General features: G+C 39.5%; 1 protein-coding gene across 10 annotated transcripts in view; it reads left to right on the top strand.

Annotated features, from left to right (window-relative positions):
• The window catches only part of ARSB (arylsulfatase B), a 208,750-nt gene that overhangs the window by 22,792 nt on the left and 161,872 nt on the right, over positions 1-24,086 (top strand). For 9 of the 10 annotated variants that reach the window (XR_001742066.3, XR_001742065.3, XM_011543390.2 and 6 more), the window contains one exon: positions 7,665-7,872. Coding sequence is in view for 8 of the 10 variants with exons in the window: in XM_011543390.2 (XP_011541692.1) it covers positions 7,665-7,872 (208 nt within the window). In the remaining 2 variants the exon portion in view is untranslated. Of the gene's footprint in view, positions 1-7,664; positions 7,873-10,965; positions 10,969-24,086 lie in introns of all 10 variants that reach the window. The other variant, XM_047417180.1, reaches the window with a different exon arrangement.

The raw sequence follows: 24,086 nt of genomic DNA, 5'->3' as shown, positions 1-24,086 counted from the left end.
GGCTCTTTCTAACAACCAGCCCTCTCAGGAACTAATACAGTGAGAACTTATAACTGCAAAGATGGCATGAAGCCATTCGTGAGGGATCCACCTCCATGACCCAGACAGCTGCCATTAGGCTCCCACTGGGGATCAAATTTAAACATGAGGTTTGGAGGAGGGTCAAATATCTAAACTATAAGAAGATCACCGTGTGGATTCTGGTTTACATACCTGTTTGGACTTGGTATGTGGCTGCTGGTTCCCCTTCCAGTTTCTGCCTGTTTGAACTCAGTATTGGAAATCTTCCCTGAATGAGTTAAATGCCAGATTGCTGGCATCCTTATTTGACTTCCACAAGCTAAGGTAAAATCTTTCAGAAGACAACTTTACCTCGAACTTCAAATTATATTTACACTATCAAATGTTATACAACTCCTGACATTCATTAAAAAATAATAGAAACCCCGTCTCTACTAAAAATACAAAAAAAATTAGCCGGGTGCAGTGGTGGGTGCCTGTAGTCCAGCTACTCTGGAGGTTGAGGCAGGAGAATGGCGTGAACCCGGGAGGCGGAGCTTGCAGTGAGCCGAGATCGCACCACTACACTCCAGCCTGGGCGACAGAGCAAGACTCCGTCTCAAAAAAAAAAAAAAAAAAAAATCGAGCACATGTAGAAGTGAAAACACAGATAGAGGTGTCTGTCCTCAGCTGCGTCCCACTTTTGGCGATCACTCTCCTATGCTGATATCTTGAAGCAACCATGCTTTCTGTGGAACACGAAGAAATGGGAACATTCTCTCAAATATGTGGAAATACACAGATTTTAAATTTAAATCTAAACAAATATTCAGATAATTGGAAAAATAGTTGCTAGGTAATTGGCTTAAATCCTCAGTTTTCTTCTACATATTTGACATTTTATGGATGCACCTTAACACTTAACAAGGTAAAGTCTTAAGAGAACTGTGTATTATTCTTTGAGGGAGCCACCATTTTACACATAAGCAAACTGGCTTAGAGAAGTTAAGTAACTTGTTCAAGGTCACAGAGCTATTGAGAGTCAGAATCAGAATTTAAACTCATGCTCTCTGACTCCAGACCTCATGTACTTAATCAGCCTCCCTAGTTCACAGCTAATATCCAAGACCAGAGATTCTGAGTCCCAGCTCATGATTCACCTTAATGATTTCAGTCCTGACCATATATTAGAATCATCTGGGAAACTTATAAGAAATACTGATGCCAAATATTGTGATTCATTGGTCTGAGGTGGGACCCAATCATTGGTGTTTCATTATTCCTCCTCCTGGGCTCCTACCAGTGATTCTAATGTGCAGTCATCACTGACACCTGGTGCAGTGACAGCCATTCTCGGATGGGTCATTCAGGGCATTCCTCTCAAATATGGAGAGGCAAGCAGAAGCCAGCTACCTATTACAGGTTCACAATCTGCCATACCTTAATCTGTGCAACAACTGTAATCTGCCCACAATACAAATTCATTCCTACTGAAGAACGATGGAATATTCCCTCACAGGGTTCCATAACATTAAGCAGATAAGAGGAAGCAACTGGAGTGAAATAATAGATCTTTGTGGGTGGGCTCTCTTAACTAGGGTGGTGGGGAAAACACGGAACTGAGGACAATAGGAGGCCCTAAAAGCTTGCTAGCCATGGAAGGAGTGTTATTACCATAGCCGCTGTTCGTAGGTAACTGTTTGGAAATTGCCAGATGAGAGGATGGTCATTTTCCTATTGTGTCTGAAACATGCTATAGCAGTATCCAGCATTCCCAGTATCTTCAAAGGAAAGTTTCAGTCATAGACATAAGTGAATGAAATAATCAATAGTCAAGCTGTAACCCAAGAATGTTTAAGACAGCTAATACATGTTTACATTTTCAATTCTGTATAAAATGATGCAACTCACCAGTTTGAGGAGCTGAGCTTTTCACGATTTTATCCCGATGTTGAATCTAATTCTGGGCTAATTTCTCAGGTACTATATATAGATTGTAGCATAAGGAACTTGTTCTAAGATAAAAATCATTAAAGAAAGCCACATGAAGAATCCACAGGCTAACTTAAAATTGTGCCTATTTTAAAAAGCACTTAAGAGGAAAAAAGCATTTGGAGGCAGTTCATAACTGAAACACAGTTGCTGATGCTGGACTCAGGAAGGTACTGCTAATTACCATTTCACATATGTTAAGAAGGAACCTTCTTTCTCTTTTTCAGCAGGATAATTCCCCATACTAGTGACACTACAGACTGAAAGTAACATATTCATAAAATATCTTTCTTTTAAAAACAGCCCCCCGTCAGCCGGGTGCACTGGCCCACACCTGTAATCCCAGCACTTTGGGAGGCCGAGGCGGGTGGATTGTGAGGTTAGGAGTTTGAGACCACCCTGACCAACATAGTTAAACCCCATCTCTACTAAAAATACAAAAATTAGCCAGGCCTGGTGGCATGCACCTGTAATCCCAGCTAGTCAGGAGGCTGAGGCAGGAGAATCGCTTGAACCCGGGAGGAAGAGTTGCAGTGAGCCAAGCTCGTGCCACTGAACTCCAGCCTGGGTGACAGAGCAAGACTCCATCTCAAGAAAAACAAACAAAAAAACACCCCCATGTCAGCACTTTGCAGAATGGAAGCAAATGTAATGTTATACACCTGATCTACTAGAAGCTTCTTAAAGAAAATGTTAATTTCTAGTGGAAGACTCTTACTTTTCTGTGACACAATTTGGAAAAGAATGTCTTAATTTAGAAGTCAAAGAAAAACAATTTCAAAACCTATCATATGCTTTTTTTTTCATTTATACTTTAAATTAGGAGAATACACTAAAGAAATGAAAATAAGACTTTCTTCCTCACTGAAATAAGTTTTCTTAGCATGGTGAGGATATTTACAGTATATATCTTAGGAACCATGTAGCATAAATAAAGGGAAAAGAACCCCCAATATCTCAAACATGAATATGCTAATAGCTCTAGGTGATAATGTCTTGCTTTTATGTAATACTTAGATATTTAGTAATGATTTCATGCCTAGGATTTCATTTCACATTCCCAAGACACTGGAAAGGGTTACAGGTAGGGTTGGAGCTAAGGCAGTAACTGTGACAGTTGATGAGAACAGGGATCTGGACCTAAGAAAAAGCAGGGGAGAGATCAGGCTCCAGTGATGGCAGCTGCTGGCTTTAGGCTGACAGTGAGCCGAGCTCTGGTTGGCAGGAGTGGGAAAATTGACCACAGCTGTTCACAGGCAGGGTCCTAGGAATAGTGGCTGCAGGTGGGGTCCTCACTGTGATTGGAGAACCTTGGAGTCCTAGTTAATTCATTCCACTAGGCTACCATATAGTATTAAAAACACTACTCTTTCTCTTTTTTCAATTTAAAAATAGTATAGAAATATTTCACATTTACTACTGTTGGGGAATGAGTTATAATATTTCATGAATAAAGTTCACCTTCTGAGTGTTGAAACTTTATTTTTTGTAGTATGGGATGGAAATATCTAAAATGTGCATCAGTCCTGACCTCTTGAAATGGGCTATAGTACCGACATGGACTGGTATAGTTTCTTATTTTTAACCCCTCAAGAGTGTCAACTTAAAATAATCAAAAGGATCAGAATCTAGTTTAAAGAGAGTTTATTCAAGTACAGAGTTTAAGGATGGCCTCTTGGGAAGCACAGATTCCAAAGAATGGAAGTCCGTGTTTCAAAGTGTAGAAGTTTGGGATTTCTTACTGTATTAGTCCATTCTCACGCTGTTATAAAGAACTGCCTGAGTTCCACTGGCCCTCCAGTGAGCTGAGGGTTTTTGCAGGAAAAAAAAAAAAGCTGCCTGAGACTGGGTAATTTATAAAGGAAAGAGGTTTAATTGACTCAGTTCCACATGGCTGGGGAGGCCTCAGGAAACTTACAATGGTGTGGAAGGGGAAGCAAACAAGTCTTTCTTCACGTGGCAGCAGGAGAGAGAAGTGCCAAGCAAAGGGGGAAAAGCGCCTTATAAAACCAGCAGACCTTGTGAGAACTTATTCACTGTCAAGAGAACAGTATGGGGGTAACCACCCCCATGATTCCATTAACTCCCACTGGGTCCCTCCCCTGACACATGGGGATTATGGGAACTACAATTAAAGATGAAATTTGGGTGGGGACACAGCCAAACCATATCACTTACATAGACAAAATTTAGGGGAGCTTAAAAGAATTTCAACATCTTTCTGTACAAGGCTTAATGCATAATTACAATGATCTGATTAGTCAAGGTGGTGGTTTTCTTTTGGGAAAGGTATGTTTAACATTCCACACTGAAGATGTAACAGTCATGGTGTTTTTTGGGTCATCTGGTCTGAGTTAGGTACAGGACAATAAAGGAGGTGGTTAATCTATAACAAAGATCTTCAATAAGAAGGGGAGGAGTCCTGGTCTCTGGTCTTTCCTAGTTATTTACAGAAGAAGAACAATAAGGAAGAGAGTTACTCTATAATCTAAGAAACAGAAGTTGCAAACATGCTACGTGACACAGTCTCCAGGACTTAATTTTCCCCTTGGCATAATTTAGAGGGTCCTGAAAATTTATATTCTTTTATAAAAGTGATGGTAATGTCTTTAGCTACTAAGGAATAATTATAGGAAAGATTTTCAGATTATTTTTCACCATATTTAACAAAGTGAGTAGAATGATTTCTATACTGAATATTTATAAGAACCTTTAATAATGATCCCCAAATCTTTTTTTCCCTGGTCATTGTTCAAGAACTCCCCTGTCCGCCTTCCCAGCCATTGCCTTTAGTAATCAATTGCTGGCTGGGAATCACCTACCCTCTTTCTCCTTTCTCTCCTTCGCCAGGTGGTTGCCATGTTGCTGCTAATGACCTGGATGAGAACATCTTCTCCTTAAGCTGTGGGCCCCCTCTCTCCCCACTGTATCCCCTGCCCCCTGCCACTGTTAAGAGTCCAGATCAGAGTCACAAAATCTCGTGTTTGCAAGGGCCAGGCTGCTAACCTAAAGAAGTGAAGCAGTTTATGTAGAACAGTGGGAAACTAGAAAATTGGATAGCATTTGAGGGGGATGGGGCCCCTGTTTCTCATACTCCAGCCTTTTGTTACCAGATGGAGTGTGGACAAAGAGTAGTCAGAAATTCTGATTTTTCCAAAAAAGTTTTTTTATATAAAAACAGATCGATGTGATATTTCCTGATTTTTTTTAAAACTTTACGTGGGCTGCAAATTGTTGTAGACTTCCGATTTTTAATCCTATCCCCATCTGGACCTTGGCTGGTGGCTGGAGTTGGCTCAGTCTAGTGCTGAAGACCCAGATAGCAGTACCCAGAGCAGACCCATACTGCACTGTCAGGTCAGCGATGCACCTGCACGTTCTTCCCTCCAGACATCGCAGCCAAGACCTTCATCACCCCCAGGCAGGGCATCTGTTGGGATGTCCTGCACCATGGTCTACACGAACATAGACGCTTCAGCATGACCATGCAGCTGGAGTAGAAGGTGTATGTGTGTCGAGTGGAAGCAGAGGCAGAACTGAAATGGTGTCAGAGGTTATAGAATAGACTTTTGGAGTGGGAATTTGGAATGTTTTCCCATGGAAATAATGGAAGTACGGGTTCTACATTATCATCATTTTCACTCCATCAGCTGCGTCCTTAGTTTAATAGGTTTTAAAGCAACGACTTTGACATTTAGCAGCTATTTTTAACTTTGTGAGTTTAGGGAAAACGTATTTCTGAGTTCCAAAGACCTGAACAATAAATAAACTTTTGGGGGGTCTATTTGAGCTCTATGTATGGATACTCCTTTTTGCATTACAAGGATGTGTAATATAAAATTTAAAACAACTTGTCAACAATGAAGAATGAAATATGAGCACCACCCCCCCACCAAAGTCTGTTTCTAACCATTTTCATTCATTTATGAGATTTAAATGCCTCAAATACTTTAACAGAATTATACGTTTATTTTTGGGTTAAACTAGTTGTTGTCTCTTTGAGGCTTTTCAACTCATTAAAGAATTCTGTAGCACTATGAAGAGAATGCCTTCAGAAAGGCTCATTAAAAAGGAGAAGCTGACCTGGTATGCCACTAATGTTAAATGTTGCAAATTGATGTAAGTGGTAAAATAGAATCAGTGTGTCATACTTCTTAGTTTCAGGAATTAAACTGGTCTTATGTTTGGTCCTGCATCAAAGACTAACAAGGCATGGTGTTCACTTTTTTTCTCATAAAATATAGTTTAAAAATACTAAACCTCTTCTAAAAGATGAGGGCTTATTTTCAGCTAAAGCAAAAAGCTAAAGCCTCTATTGGTACACATCCATATCGTAATAGTGGGTTTTCCAATAGGAAATTGCTCTTCGGTTAATGTGGAGTTGGACAAGTCACACATATAACCTTTCTAAGCCTCAGTTAACTCATCTGTAAAATTGCTGTAACATAGGGTGGTTTCATTAAATGAGATAGAATGTGTAAATTATTATCATACTGTCTAGTATGTAGACAACATTTAATATGTGGTTGCCATTACTGATATTATTATTTGTTTGGATTAGGTCCATTGAGGCCGTTCTGGGACTCTGGCTTTTATTTTCAATTTTTTGTCTTGTGTCTTTTGTTATATTTTTTAATATCTTTATTGAAACAAAATTTACATATCATAAAATTCACTCATTTAAAGTATACAGTTCAATAGTAAATTTTCAGTTATGCAACCATACCACAATCTAAGTTTAAAACATGTTCATCATCCCCCCAAAAAAACCTTGTATCTGTTAGCAATCACTCACCATTCCTCTCCCCCACAATTTCCTACAGCCCCAGGCAACCACCCTCTGTCTCTATAGATTTGCCTATATTTCTGGAATTTCATATAAATGAAATTACATAATATGAGGACTTTTACGATTGACTGATTTCACTTAGTATAATGTTTTCAAGGTTTATCTATGTTGTAGTATGTATCAATACTTTATTTCATTTATTGCCATATGTTGCTGAAAATATACCATATTTTGTTTATCCATTCATCAATTGATAGATGTTTGGGTTGTTTCTACTCTTTGGCTATTATGAATAATGTTGCAGTGAATATTCATGGAAGTTTTTGGGTGGATGTATGCTTTGATTTCTCTAGGAATGGAAATGCTGGGTCATATGGTAACTCTATGTTTTACAATTTCAGGAACTGCCAAAATGTTTCTTCAAAGTGGCTATGTGTGCCATTTTACATTCCTGCTAGTAATGAATGACAGTTCCAATTTCTCCATATCCTCACCAATACTTGTTCTTTTCCATTTTTAAATTATCACCATCCTAACAGATGTGAAGTGTTACCTCATTGTGGTTTTAATTTGCATCTTAATAATGACTGATGATGTTGACTGTCTTTACATGTGTTTATTGCCTTTTGTGTATCCTCTTTGGAGAAATTGCTATTCAGATTCTTTGCCCATTTTGTAGTTGAGTTATCATTGAGTTGTAAGGGTTCTTTATATATTCTGGAGATGAGTCCCTTATCATACATGTGATTCACAAATACTTTCAATGCATTCTGTAGGTTGTCTTGATATTATTTTTATTAATGCATAAATCTGAACTGTCTTATCCTTCTATATTTAATGCTTCAATATCCTCTTAACTGGTTTGCACAAACTTTCTTTCCAGCCTCTGTTTCTCTACCTTGCTCTCCAGTCTGTGCATGAGCCCCTTCAGGTCCCTGAGGAATACTTGAAGCCATATGACTTTATCCAAGACAAGAACAGGCATCACTATGCAGGAATGGTGTCCCTTATGGATGAAGCAGTAGGAAATGTCACTGCAGCTTTAAAAAGCAGTGGGCTCTGGAACAACACGGTGTTCATCTTTTCTACAGGTAAGTCTGTCAATAGGAAAATCATCTCTTGGCAAAGCCTAGGACATGGTATTTGATAAGTGGAATGAAGACAAATTGGAGCGGTTAGCATTGCCTTATTAAAATAAATGCAAACTGCAATAGTGGAGACATGGTAATTGTGGATGGAAAGATATATCTAAGGAAAAAGAATGATGGGCTTCCCCCGTTCCCTCAGATATCAAAATATTCTGGGACTGTGGCTTGAAAACACATGTTCACTAACTGAGTAAGTATGAGTGGACATCACTCATATACAGGGCTGCTGGGTAGTGAATCCCTAGAGTGGCTTGTTCCCAGCTCTCTCTACAACCCAGACATCCTCTATGGTCACAACTCCCACCAACTAGAAGGGTCTCTGTATCACTGCAAAGAGACAGATTGTGACATTATGAAGACAAATAATGGAGCCATTTAAATCTATGAAAGTGTCTCCAAGTTTAGATTTTTTTGGTATTAAAATTGTTTTTGGGGCCGGGCGCGGTGGCTCACGCCTGTAATCCCAGCACTTTGGGAGACCGAGGTGGGTGGATCAACTGAGGTCAGGAGTTCGAGACCAGCCTGACCAATATGGTGAAACCTCTTCTCTACTAAAAATGCAAAAATTAGCCGGGCATGGTGGCGAGTGCATGTAGTCCCAGCTACTCGGGAGGCTGAGACAGGAGAACTGCTTGAATCCAGGAGGCAGAGGTTGCAGTGAGCCGAAACTGTGCCACTGCACTCCAGTCTGGGCAACAGAGTGAGACTGTGTCTCAAAAAAAATATTTTTTTTCTGACAGTAAAAGTTATATATGTTATTATAGACAAATTAGAAAAGGGAGAAATAAAACTCATAATCTCAGAGATTACTTTTGAAAATCATTTTCATTATGGCGATGCCATTCTGTTTCCTAATCTGTTACATGTGCAACTTCCCCCTCTCATTAGAGACGGTTTTCTGAAATTTCACTGTGATGTGCTTTGGGTGTAGATCATCATTTATTCATCATGCTGAGTACTCAGAGAGCACTTTCAATCTGAAAATGCAGATCCTTTTGTTATGGGGAATTTTCTTATATGATTTATTTTGGAATTGTGTGGCCCTCCGTCCCACCTTCCCCTATTTTTTCTGTACAGAACTCCTATTATTTGGTCACCAGGTCAGTCCTCTAATTTTTCCTAGTTTTTTTTTTCCCTCTCCTGTTTTCTTTATTTTTCTTCTAGTATTTGGGAAATCTTACTGTTTTGTAAGCTTCCTATTGAATTTATTTTAACTGCCATGTCTGTTAATTACCAGCAACTCTTTTGTGTTTTCTGATAATTCCTTTTTTGTGAAGTTCTGTTTTTAATTTATAGATGTCATAACTTGTTTCCCCAAAGCCTGTGCTCTTAACCATTACTCTTAAATGTGTATTATGTGTGTGTGTATATATATGTATGTATATACTTTTTTTAAAGTTTGCTGATATTGCCAACATTATCTCTCTTCCTTTTGAGTTCTTTTTTTCAGTTTGTTTATATCTTTGTTATAGTCTGTCTTTAATGAGAGTGGTTTGGTTTTCTCAAATCCCTAGAGATTCTTGGCTGAAATCTAACAATTTGATTGGAAACTCCAAGTGCCAGGTCAGGGCTTGTCATCTGGTGAGTTTTACTGTAACATGACCATGTAGGGGTGAGGTGACATGTTGAGGAATTCATTTTGGTATTCTACTCATACTTTTGTGGTTTTGTTTTTTCACGAGTTGTTTTGTTTTGCTTTCAATCAGGCATAGTTATTGAACGTGGCATTTGTTGAGCAGTTACTATGTGTGGGACGCAGTTCTAAGTGTTTCATGCGAATTAGTTCAGTGAATCCTCATGATAATGGATTCTCTGGGAACTATTATTGTCCCATCTTGCAGATGTGAGAACTGAAGCACAAAGGGCATAAGTAACTTGCCCCAGGTCATGCAGCCAGGCAGAGCCTGGCTCCACTACAGTATCCTGCCTCCCAGATGATGATCTCAGTGTTCTCATAGGACCTCATGGTATAGCAGAGCTTTCCATATGGTGTGCTGCAATATTGATCTACTGAGGAGCCTGGGCAGGGCCAGAATAGCATCTACCCTGAGCAGCCTTGTTCACTTGTGTGGGTGCTATCCAAATACTATAATTTTCTAAGTATGTCCTGCTGTGAAAAAGGTTAAAATTTGTTTTTCTCCCAAAACTTACTCTTCAGAAAAAAAAGGTAGACATATTTCAGCCCTTAACAAGATCTCTCAGATTCTGGGAGTCATTCTCAATTTAATTTATTTTGAATATCCTGGCATAGCATTTTGATCAGTGCTGGTTTTGAATGCCTAGAGAAGTCACTAGAAAGAATCAATTAAAAAAAAGATGCTAGGACATGTAACACTGGTGTAGCAAAATTATTCCTGGGAAATGACCTCATTGTTGCAAGAATTGGAAGTCATAAGTTTATAAAACAAGTCTTTGTTCTAGAGATCACAATTAGACAATTTCAGGACAAATGATTTTCTAAAGTGAAAGTATATATGGATTAATGTATTGTACGTGGGCTTAAATGTGCTCAGACAGAAGTGAAGATGCTAGTTCTGGAAGACTGTATTAAATATCTCTAAGTGGCTCTTGTGATAACATTCCCATCAAGAATGCATGGGAGGCTGGGTCTGGTGGCTGACGCTTGTGATCCCAGCACTTTGGGAGGCCGAGGCAGGCAGGTCACTTGAGTTCAGGAGTTCAACACCAGCCTGGGAAACATGGTGAAACCCTGTCTCTACAAAAAATACAAAAATTAGCCAGGTGTGGTGGCATGTGCCTGTAGTCCAAGCTACTGGAGGGGCTGAGGCTGGAGGATTGCTTGAGCCTAGGAGGTTGAGGCTGCAGTGAGCTGAGATTGCGCCACTGTACTCCAGCCTGGGTAACAGAGCGAGACCTTGTTTCAAAAGAAAGAAAGAAAGAAAGAAAGAAGAGTGCATGGGAAGAGGTGGAATACAATTTTTTTCATGATATTTGAGAATGGAAAAATATTTTAAGATAAATATTTCCTTTATTATATGATTGCAAATGTGTATGTATAATTGTACTTTCAAACAGATAGTTGACTATTTCATAAACATCTATATTTATTCAAGCTGGTAGTAGTAACATTTGGAGCTTCTCACTGAGAAAATGAGGATCACCTTAAATAGGATTGTCTTATATTTTGATACTATATTAATAGATATCTTAATCTTGGATCATCTTTGCTTTGTTAGGTTAAATCCAACTTGACCGTGCCTATGTATTTTTATTATACTGATGAATTCAGTTTGCTAGGGTTTCATTTAGGATTTTTGCATCAATTCAGAAGTGGAAGTAGAGTTAGTGGTTTCTTTTTTGTGTCAGGTTTTGTTGTCTTGGTTGTGCTCACTTCATAAAATAATGTGGTTAGTTTTGCCATCTTTTTCTATGCTCTGGAATAGTTTATAGAATGTTGGAAAGATCTTTCTGTTTAGCTGGTCCCTGAAGCCTTTTGTGGAGGCATTTAAAAAATTATTTCCATAGTTTACATTTTTTGCTGAATTATATCTAGGTGTGTGTCTTTAAAATGTTTTGAAATTAATTTTGCCTGAAATATAGTGAGCCCTGAAACTGCATGCTGAGATGATTATTCACTCCAGGAGGCTTTCCTTGTTCCTATTTTAGCTTATTGCTTTTGTTCTACTTGATTTATGTCTCAAAAATATCTTTAATTACTGTGTTGAATCCCTGATTCAGCTTTTCTCTCATCCTTTTCATTTTTTTTGTCCTTTTTCTCAGGCTTTGGAGCTCTTCTGCATTACCAGTTTAGACACTTTTGCAATTTTAATCCTACACCTTAATATCTCCAACATAGATTATTGTTGATTGTATTTTTAGTTTTTTTGCAATGCTGTCTCTGTTTCAATCAGTACCCTTTTCTTCCAAGCTTGTTAGTATAGTATAGTATAGTATTTAGTAGCATTAAACCTCAATGTAACCCTGTGAGATAGTAAATGGTTTCTTGATCCCATTTACCAATGAAGAAATCAAAACTTCTTTTTAAAAAATAAAATAAAAAAATAAAGATAGGGTCTTGCTATGTTGCCCAGACTGGTCTCAAACTCCTGGGCTCAAGTGATCCTCCCACCTCAGACTCCCAAAATGCTAGGATTATCAGTGTGAGCCGCTTAAAGAAATTAAGCGATTAGTCCAAGGCCACACAGCTAACAACTGAAAAAGCCAGAATTCAAACCCAGATCTACTTGAGGTCAAAACCCAATTAACCTAATCAGTTGTCTTTTTGCATCTCATTTTCTTTTCCATTTATTTCATCCCATTGTACTGCATTTCTACGCTTGTGTTCACAGGACCCATCCTTTTCCTGAACCTTTCTGAATAGAACTTTTCTAAAATCTTTATTTTTATAGGAAGTCATTGCCAGCTAGATGCTCTTCCTTGGAGTATAGTGGTGAAGGATCTGCACACACAGAATGTGTGGCCGTCTTGTGGCCTCTGGTCACTGTTTCCTGGTTGATTCCTTCTCAAATCTGCAGCTTGAGGTCAGGTTGATGCATACACCTCACAGAGTTCCTGGTGGCATATAGGCATTAAGTGTTCTACTCTATTGAACCTGACCCACCTAGTTACAGTTTCTTCTTTTTTGGCACTCTAATTCTTTGACAGGCTAAAAGAACCCCAGACTCTTCCTATCTCCACATTTTCAGGGCTTTATTTTTGGGGACATTCCTCAGGATACAGTGTGCCAGCACTGCCAGACCTTCTCTTTTCCTGCCTATTGTCTTCTGGGAGTTGTGATCTCTAAGCACACAGAAGTAGAGGAGGTAATAATTCTCCTCTGCTTAAATTAGTGCCATCCCTTCTCAGGCTGTCTTCCTGCCTCTCTTAATCTAGGTGAAGGGCTCTGTGTCATGAGGCAAAGCAGGGTGGGCCAGTTCTTATTTCCTCAGCCCAGCTTCTCTGGTCTTGTAGTTTCTGGACATGTTTCCAAGATTCTGGCATTATAAGCTGTCTGTCCATCTTGGTTTCTTATGTTGTGATGGGGTTTCATCTTGTTCTGTGTTTGTTGTTTTCGCAGGGTAGTGGTCCAGAGAAGCAGCACTAGTGGCTGTTAGGAAGACACCATTGTATTCTGGATGCTTGTCACCATGGCTGATCTTTGTAGTTGCTAAATTCCAGGAACCTGCACAGGAATCTGACCTGGAGTAAAATGAGTTAAGGTTAGGGACAACTCTTGAGTAACTAGGTCATGAGTTAAGACTAGGAAAACCGATTCTGCAACCCTGAAAACAGTGATTGACCTCAACATCTTAATGCAGCCATTGTGTATTTATATTAACTCTTTTTTTTGTTTGTTTTGTTTTTTTTGAGATGGAGTCTCGCTCTGTCACTCAGGCTGGAGTACAGTAGCATGATCTTGGCTTGCTGCAATCACTGCCTCCCGGGTTCAAGTGATTCTCCTGCCTCAGCCTCCCAAATAGCTGGGATTACAGGCGTGTACCACCATGCCTGGCTAATTTTTGTATTTTTAGGAGAGACAAGGTTTCGCCATGTTGGCCAGACTGGTCTCGAACTCCTGAGCTCAGGCAATCCACCCACCTCAGCCTCTCAGAGTGCTCGGATTACAGTCATGAGCCACCACGCCCAGCCTGTATTAAGCCTTACCAGAATAATTAGTTTTACTTACATTTAGATGAGGGTTTGAATATAAGGAGAAACCTAATTTGCATTTCTTTCTCCAGAGACTTCTGTGTTTATTGACAATTTCATTTCCTGAAGTTGAAATTAATAATGTGCTATAATAATGTAATTATAACCCAAGGACCTGGACTAACTAATCACAGAGCAGTGATTCATTTTTTCCCACTTCTCTCACTTTACTTCACTTAGCCCTGTACTTCTTTATAAGGATAAGAATACTGGTTGCATTCAAATCAATAAATGTTGAGTCCATTAGTACAGAAAACCATGAAAACAATCTAGCTTCCTGGTGTTGGATTATATTTGGTGATCGGTAAAGGCAAAGGCATAATTTTTAGATTTTGATGTTTGATAAAGCTAACTTTTAAAAATTTCTGTTATAATCTGAGAGAAATCCATGATTCATTCCTTGCCACCTCTACCCATCATCTTAGCATAGTTATTCTCAGTGCGCTGTCTGGGGACCACCTGCAGCAGTGGAGCATTTGTTAAAAATGCAATTTTCAAGGTGATGGCTGCACAACATTGTGCCATGTTCTAAATGTCACTGAATTGGATACTTTAAAATGGCTAATTTCATGTAATGTGAATTTCACCACAATCTTAAAAATTCAGTTTCTCAGACTCTATCACAGCCCAGCTGAATTAGAAACCCAGAGGCCCAAAAATCTCCATTTTTAACAAGAATTCAGGTGATTCTTTTGTACACAGAAATTTGAGAACCTCTGAGCTAAGGTAACTCTTATTCAAACTTTAGGAATTTACCTTACAAGGAATGTATGTGGTTATTTAAATTTGACATATATTTATGTTTATACATATATCCTCCTCACTAGGAGGAATATATATATGACAGCTGGAAACCAACTGGGTTTGAAGTTCAGGCGCTCCTAGGTAGTTTTCATTTCAGGTAAATGCACCTATTTCTAGAAATAGACTCTTCAAAAAGCTGACGAGAAAAGTTTAAATTTAATTATTCTGCTTTCCATGTTCTTACTGCATATAAATCACAACCTTAATTGATTCATGCCATTTCTTCTGCAGTGTGTGATTAATACCACTGTTAACAAATATTGTCTTTCTCATTACACACATACTATTCTGGGTTTGTTTTTTTATTTCTATTTTTTATTTTTATGGGTATATAGTAGGTATAAATATATATTTATGGAGTACATGAGATATTTTGATACAGGCACACAATGCATAGTAATCATATCTGGGTAATGGGGATATCTATGCCCTCAAGCATTTATCATTTCTTTGTGTTACCAACATTCCAATTAAACTCTTTTGATTATTTAAAAATGTACAATAAATTATTATTAACTGTAGTCACCCTATTGTGTTATTAAATACTAGCTCTTATTCATTCTATCTAAGTATATTTGTGTACCCATTAACCATACCCACTTCCCCCCTACCCTCACCCCACTACCCTTTCCAGCCTCTAGTAACCATCCTTCTATTCTCTACCTCTATGAGTTCTATTGTTTTAATTTTTAGCTCTTACAAATAAGTGAGAACATGTGATGTTTGTCTTTGTGCTTGGCTTATTTCACTTAATATAATGACCTCCAGTTCCCTCCATGTTGTTGCACGTGGTTGATCTCATTCTTTTATGTGACTGAATAGTACTCCATTGTGTATATGTAGCACATTTTCTTTATCCATGCATCTGTTGATGGACACTTAGGTTGTTTTCAAATCTTGGCTATTGTGAATAGTGCTGCAATAAACATGGCAGTGCAAGTGTATGTTTGATATACTGATATTCTTTCTTTTGGGTATATACTTAGCAGTGGGATTACTGGATCATGTGGTAGTTTTGTTTTTAGTTTCCTGAGGAACCTCCAAACTGTTCTCCATAGTGGCTGTACTAACTCACATTCCCACCAACATTGTACAAAAGTACCCTTTTCTCCACATCCTCGCCAGCATTCATTATTACCTGTCTTTTGGATAAAAGCCATTTTAACTGGGGTGAGAGGATATCTCACTGCAGTTTTGATTGGCATTTCTCTGATAGCCAATCATGTTGAGCACCTTTTCATATACCTGTTTGCCGTTTATATGTCTTCTTTTAAGAAATGTCTATTCAGATCTTTTGCCCATTTTTAATCAGATTATTAGATTTTTTTTCCCCATAGAGTTGTTTGAGTTCCTTATATAGTCTGGTTATTTGTCCCTTGTCAAATGGATAGTTTGCAGATATTTTCTCCCATTCCATGGCTTATCTCTTCACTTTGTTGGTCATTTTCTTTACTGTGCAGGAGCTTTTTAACTCAATGGAATCCTATTTGTCCATTTTTGCTTTGGTTACCTGTGCTTGTGGGATATTACACAAGAAGTCTTTGCCTAGTCCAATGTCCTGGAGAGTTTCCCCAATGTTTTCTATTAGTAGTTGCATAGTTTGTGTTCTTAGACTTAAGTCTTTAATCCATTTTGATTTGATTTTTCTATATGGTGAGAGATAGGGGTCTAGTTTCATTCTTCTGCATATGGATATCCAGTTTTCCCAGCACCATTTATTGAAGAGACTATCCTTTCTCCAGTGTCTGTTCTTGGTACTTTTGTTGAAAATGGGTTCACTGTAGATGTATGGATTTATTTTTGGGTTCTCTATTCTCTTCCTTTTGTCTAGGTGTCTGTTTTTATGCTAGTACCGTGCTGTTTTGGTTACTATAACTCTATAGTATAATTTGAAATCAGGTAATGTGATTCCTACAGTTTTGTTCTTTTTGCTCAGGATAGCTTTGGCTATTCTGGGTCTTTTGTGGTTCCATATAAATTTTAGAATTATTTTTTCTCTTTCTATGAAGAATGTCTTTGGTATTTTGATAGGGATTGCATTGAATCTGTAGATTGCTTTGGGTAGTATGGACGTTTTAACAATATTGATTGTTCCAATCATGAACATGAAATATCTTTCCATTACTTTGTGTCTGCTTCAATTTCCTTCATCAATGTTTTATAGTTTTCATTGTAGAGCCCTTTCACTACTTTGGTTAAGTAGTGATCTACTTACTACTTATTCCTAGGTATCTTATTTTATTGGTAGCTATTGTAAAAGGGATAACTTTCTTGATTTCTTTTTCTGATTGTTCACTGTTGGCACATAGAAATGTTACCGATTTTTATATGTTACTGATTTTTGTATGTTGATTTTGTATCTTGTAACTTTACTGAATTTGCTTATCAGTCCTAATAGTTTTTTTGTGGAGGCTATAGGTTTTTCCAAATGTAAGATCGTATCATCTGCAAACAAGGATAATTTGACTTCTTTCTTTCCAATCTGGATGCCTTTATTTCTTTCTCTTGTCTGATTACTCTAGCTAGCACTTTTTAATTCCAGGTTTTTTAAATCCAAGGATGACACTTCTAATCCTTCTCTGATAGAACATGATCAGAGTTTGAGTCCCAACTTTCCTGCCAATGAGTTATATGTAGAGTCTAGCCTCGGTTTCATTATCTGTTAAACGCAAGTTGATTGACCATTCATTTATTCACTCCGTCTTTCATTGCAGATAAAAAGATAACTGGGACATATTGCTCCCTTAGGAAACTCACACTCTAGTGAAGTAGACAGGTACATGTATTATTATTATGCAGTGGGAATATTAGGATGAAGCCCAGGGTGCTGTCTGCACACAATAAGAGCCACCTCTCAGAGCCCAGGGTGTGGGGAGGCTTTCTGAGATGGAAAGGTTGGGAATGGCTTGGCCAGATAAGCAGAACACAGGTGGGGAGGAGATTGGGCAGCATTCTAGCCTGTGAGAAAGGAACATAAATAAAGACAGGGAGGTTGGGAGAGCAGTCCTGGAGGGGGGTCTGCATTGCTGGAGCCTGGACTGCAAGGTGGAGAGCAGCGAGATGTGAGGCTAGAGAGCATGACCCAGGGGTCCACTCAGAAGGGGCCTGTGCACATGCAGGGAGGAATTGTGAAGGGTCTCATGGTGACAGTGAGGCACTTAAAAGTTTTAAGCAGGATCAGATTTTCACTTTAGAACTGAAATGGAGGGTGATTGGAAGCAGGCCGACCTTTTAGGAGGCTCTGACAATAAAGAGAGGAGAGAAGATAAGGAGCACTTGAGTAAAGGCAGAGGGAAGGTGGATGGAGATAAGAGGACAGATTTAAGAAATACATAGGAGGGGTGGAGCCAAGATGGCCGAATAGGAACAGCTCCAGTCTACAGCTTCCAACATGTGCGACGCAGAAGACGAATGATTTCTGCATTTCCAACTGAGGTACTGGGTTCATCTCACTGGGGATTGTTGGACAGTGGGTGCAGGACAATGGGTGTGGTGCACTGAGCCTGAGGCAAAGCAGGGCGAGGCATCGCCTCACCCGGGAAGCGCAAGGGGTCAGGGAATTCCCTTTCCTACTCAAAGAAAGGGGTGACAGACGGCACCTGGAAAATCGGGTCACTCCCACCCTAATACTGCGCTTTTCCAATGGTCTTAGCAAACGGCACACCAGGAGATTGTATCCCGCGCCTGGCTCAGAGGGTCCTACGCCCATGGAGCCTCGCTCATTGCTAGTACAGCAGTCTGAGATCAAACTGCAAGGTGGCAGCGAGGATGGGGGAGGGGCGCCCACCATTGCCAAGGCTTGAGTAGGTAAACAAAGTGGCCGGGAAGCTCGAACTGGGTAGAGCCCACCGCAGCTCAAGGAGGCCTGTCTGCCTCTGTAGACTCCACCTCTGGGGGCAGGGCATAGCTGAACAAAAGGCAGCAGAAACCTCTGCAGACTTAAATGTCCCTGTCTAACAGCTTTGAAGAGAGTAGTGGTTCTCCCAGCACGCAGCTTGAGATCTGAGAACGGACAGACTGCCTCCTCAAGTGGGTCCCTGACCCCCGAGTAGCCTAACAGGGAGGCACCCCCTTGTAGGGGCAGACTGACATCTCACATGGCCGGGTAACCCTCTGAGACAAAACTTCCAGAGGAATGATCATGCAGCAACATTTGCTGTTCACCAATATCCGCTGTTCTGCAGCCTCCACTGCTGATACCCAGGCAAACAGGGTCTGGAGTGGACCTCCAGCAAACTCCAACAGACCTGCAGCTGACGGTCCTGACTGTTAGAAGGAAAACTAACAAACAGAAAGGACATCCACACCAAAACCCCATCTGTAAATCACCATCATCAAAGACCAAAGGTAAATAAAACCACAAAGATGGGGAAAAAACAGAGCAGAAAAACTGAAAATTCTAAAAATCAGAGTGCCTCTCCTCCTCCAAAGGAATGCAGCTCCTCACCAGCAACGGAACAAAGCTGGATGGAGAATGAGTTTGATGAGTTGAGAGAAGAAGGCTTCAGACGATCAAACTTCTCCGAGCTAAAGGAGGAAGTTCGAACCCATGGCAAGGAAGTTAAAAACCTTGAAAAAAGATTAGATGAATGGCTAACTAGAATAACCAATGCAGAGAAGTCCTTAAAGGACCTGATGGAGCTGAAAACCACGGCACGAGAACTACGTGACGAATGCACAAGACTCAGTAGCCGATTTGATCAACTGGAAGAAAGGGTATCAGTGATTCAAGATCAAATGAATGTAATGAAGTGAGAAGAGAAGTTTAGAGAAAAAAGAATAAAAAGAAACGAACAAAGCCTCCATGAAATATGGGACTATGTGAAAAGACCAAATCTACATCTGATTGGTGTACCTGAAAGTGACAGGGAGAATGGAACCAAGTTGGAAAACACTCTGCAGGATACTATCCAGGAGAACTTCCCCAGTCTAGCAAGGCAGGCCAACATTCAGATTCAGGAAATACAGAGAATGCCACAAAGATACTCCTTGAGAAGAGCAACTCCAAGACACATAATTGTCAGATTCACCAAAGTTGAAATGAAGGAAAAAATGTTAACGGCAGCCAGAGAGAAAGGTCAGGTTACCCACAAAGGGAAGCCCATCAGACTAACAGTCGGTCTCTCGGCAGAAACTCTACAAGCCAGAAGACAGTGGGGGCCAATATTCAACATTCTTAAAGAAAAGAATTTTCAACCTAGACTTTCATATCCAGCCAAACTAAGCTTCATAAGTGAAGGAGAAATAAAATACTTTACAGACAAGCAAATGCTGAGAGATTTTGTCACCACCAGTCCTGCCCTGCAAGAGCTCCTGAAGGAAGCACTAAACATGGAAAGGAACAACTGATACCAGCCACTGCAAAAACATGCCAAATTGTAAAGACCATCGAGGCTAGGAAGAAACTACATCAACTAACGAGCAAAATAACCAGCTAACATCATGACAGGATCAAATTCACACATAACAATATGAACCTTAAATGTAAATGGGCTAAATGCTCCAATTAAAAGACACAGACTGGCAAATTGGATAAAGAGTCAAGACCCATCAGTATGCTGTATTCAGGAGATGCATCTCACGTGCAAAGACACACATAGGCTCAAAATAAAGGGATGGAGGAAGATCTACCAAGCAAATGAAAAACAAAAAAAGGCAGGGATTGCAATCCTAGTCTCTGATAAAACAGACTTTAAACCAACAAAGATCAAAGGAGACAAAGAAGGCCATTACATAATGGTAAAGGGATCAATTCAACAAGAAGAGCTAACTCTCCTAAATATATATGCACCCAATACAGGAGCACCCAGATTCATAAAGCAAGTCCTTAGAGACCTACAAAGAGACTTAGACTCCCACACAATAATAATGGGAGACATTAACACCCCACTGTTAACATTAGACAGATCAATGAGACAGAAAGTTAACAAGGATATCCAGGAATTGAACTCAGCTCTGCACCAAGCGGACCTAATAGACATCTACAGAACTCTCCACCCCAAATCAACAGAATATACATTCTTTTCAGCACCACACCACACCTATTCCAAAATTGACCACATAGTTGGAAGTAAAGCACTCAGCAAATGTAAAAGAACAGAAATTATAGCAAACTGTCTCTCAGACCACAGTGCAATCAAACTAGAACTCAGGATTAAGAAACTCACTCAAAACCATTCAACTACATGGAAACCGAACAACCCGCTCCTGAGTGACTACTGGGTACATAATGAAATGAAGGCAGAAATAAAGATGTTCTTTGAAACCAATGAGAAAAAAGATACAACATACCAGAATCTCTGGGACACATTCAAAGCAGTGTGTAGAGGGAAATTTGTAGCACTAAATGCCCACGAGAGAAAGCAGGAAAGGTCTACAATTGACACCCTAACATCACAATTAAAAGAACTAGAGAAGCAAGAGCAAACCCATTCAAAAGCTAGCAGAAGGCAAGGAATAACTAAGATCAGAGCAGAACTGAAGGAGATAGAGACACAAAAAACCCTTCAAAATATCAATGAATCCAGGAGCTGGTTTTTTGAAAAGATCAACAAAATTGATAGACCGCTAGCAAGACTAATAAAGAAGAAAAGAGAGAAGAATCAAATAGATGCAATAAAAAATGATAAAGGGGATATCACCACTGATCCCACAGAAATACAAACTACCATCAGAGAATACTACAAACACCTCTACGCAAACAAACTAGAAAATCTAGAAGAAACGGATAAATTACTGGATACATACACCCTCCCAAGACTAAACCAGGAAGAAGTTGAATCTCTGAATAGACCAATAACAGGCTCTGAAATTGTGACAATAATCAATAGCTTACCAAACAAAAAGAGTCCAGGACCAGATGGATTCACAACCGAATTCTACCAGAGGTACAAGGAGGAACTGGTACCATTCCTTCTGAAACTATTCCAATCAATAGAAAAAGAGGGAATCCTCCCTAACTCATTTTATGAGTCCAGCATCATCCTGATACCAAAGCCAGGCAGAGACACAACCAAAAAAGAGAATTTTAGACCAATATCCTTGATGAACATTGATGCAAAAATCCTCAATAAAATACTGGCAAACCAAATCCAGCAGCACATCAAAAAGCTTATCCACCATGATCAAGTGGGCTTCATCCCTGGGATGCAAGGCTGGTTCAATATATGCAAATCAATAAAGGTAATCCAGCATATAAAGAGAACCAAAGACAAAAACCACATGATTATCTCAATAGATGCAGAAAAGGCCTTTGACAAAATTCAACAACCCTTCATGCTAAAAACTCTCAATAAATTAGATATTGATGGGACGTATCTCAAAAGAATAAGAGCTATCTATGACAAACCCACAGCCAATATACTGAATGGGCAGAAACTGAAAGCATTCCCTTTGAAAACTGGCACAAGACAGGGATGCCCTCTCTCACCACTCCTATTCAACATAGTGTTGGAAGTTCTGGCCAGGGCAATTAGGCAGGAGAAGGAAATAAAGGGCATTCAATTAGGAAAAGAGGAAGTCAAATTGTCCCTGTTTGCAGATGACATGATTGTATATCTAGAAAACCCCATCGTCTCAGCCCCAAATCTCCTTAAGCTGATAAGCAACTTCAGCAAAGTCTCAGGATACAAAATCAATATACAAAAATCACAAGCATTCTTATACACCAATAACAGACAAACAGAGAGCCAAATCATGAGTGAACTCCCATTCACAATTGCTTCAAAGAGAATAAAATACCTAGGAATCCAACTTACAAGGGATGTGAAGGACCTCTTCAAGGAGAACTACAAACCACTGCTCAATGAAATAAAAGAGGATACCAACAAATGGAAGAACATTCCATGCTCATGGGTAGGAAGAATCAATATTGTGAAAATGGCCATACTGCCCAAGGTAATTTATAGATTCAATGCCATCCCCATCAAGCTACCAATGACTTTCTTCACAGAACTGGAAAAAACTACTTTAAAGTTCATATGGAACCAAAATGAGCCCGCATTGCCAAGTCAATCCTAAGCCAAAAGAACAAAGCTGGAGGCATCACACTACCTGACTTCAAACTATGCTACAAGGCTACAGTGACTGAAACAGCATGGTACTGGTACCAAAACAGAGATATAGACCAATGGAACAGAACAGAGCCCTCAGAAATAATGCCACATATCTTTAACTATCTGATCTTTGACAAACCTGACAGAAACAAGAAATGGGGAAAGGATTCCCTATTTAATAAATGGTGCTGGGAAAGCTGGCTAGCCATATGTAGAAAGCTGAAACTGGATCCTTTCCTTACACCTTATACAAAAATTATTTCAAGATGGATTAAAGACTTAAATGTTAGACCTAAAACCATAAGAACCCTAGAAGAAAAAAACGTAGGCAATACCATTCAGGACATAGGCATGGGCAAGGACTTCATGTCTAAAACACCAAAAGCAATGGCAGCAAAAGCCAAAATAGACAAATGGGATCTAATTAAACTAAAGAGCTTCTGCACAGCAAAAGAAACTACCATCAGAGTGAACAGGCAACCTTCAGAATGGTAGAAAATTTTTGCAATCTACTCATCTGACAAAGGGCTAATATCCAGAATCTACAATGAACTCAAACAAATTTACAAGAAAAAACAAACAACCCCATCAAAAAGTGGGCGAAGGATATGAACAGACACTTCTCAAAAGAAGACATTTATGCAGCCAAAAGACACATGAAAAAATGCTCATCATTACTGGCCATCAGAGAAATGCAAAACAAAATCACAATGAGATACCATCTCACACCAGTTAGAATGGCAATCATTAGAAAGTCAGGAAACAACAGGTGCTGGAGAGGATGTGGAGAAATAGGAACACTTTTACACTGTTGGTGGGACTATAAACTAGTTCAACCATTGTGGAAGTCAGTGTGGCGATTCCTCAGGGATCTAGAACTAGAAATACCATTTGACCCAGCCATCCCATTACTGGGTATATACCCAAAGGATTATAAATCATGCTGCTATAAAGACACATGCACATGTATGTTTATTGCGGCACTATTCACAATAGCAAAGACTTGGAACCAACCCAAATGTCCACCAATGATAGACTGGATTAAGAAAATGTGGCACATACACACCATGGAATACTTGCAGCCATAAAAAATGATGAGTTCATGTCCTTTATAGGGACACGGATGAAGCTGGAAACCATCATTTTCAGCAATCTATCGCAAAGAGAAAAAACCAAACACCACATGTTCTCACTCATAGGTGGGAATTGAACAATGAGAAAACATGGACACAGGAAGGGAAACATCACACACCGGGGCCTGTTGTGGGGTCGGGGGAAGGGGTGAGGGATAGCATTAGGAGATATACCTAATGCTAAATGATGAGTTAATGGGTGCAGCACACCAACATGGCACATGTATACATATGTAACAAACCTGCACGTTATGCACATGTACCCTAGAACTTAAAGTATTAAAAAAAAAAAAAGAAATACATAGGAGAGCTTGGACCACTTGATGTTGAGAGCTCTTTTTACTAGGAAAGCTGATGGTTTTGTAATTCTGCCAGTTTTCAGGATGTTGTCAGTGCTAATGAAAGCCTTTCATGTTCTCCCCATGGCATGGATACATCTGCAAAGAGCTGGAAAGAGTGAAGCCCATGGCCAGAGTACCCACATAATCCACATAGC

Source organism: Homo sapiens, chromosome 5, assembly GCF_000001405.40.
Source record: "Homo sapiens chromosome 5, GRCh38.p14 Primary Assembly".
NCBI lineage: Eukaryota > Metazoa > Chordata > Mammalia > Primates > Hominidae > Homo > Homo sapiens.
The sequence above is the reverse complement of the archived record's forward strand: the minus strand, read 5'-3'. Positions and strand labels throughout refer to the sequence as shown.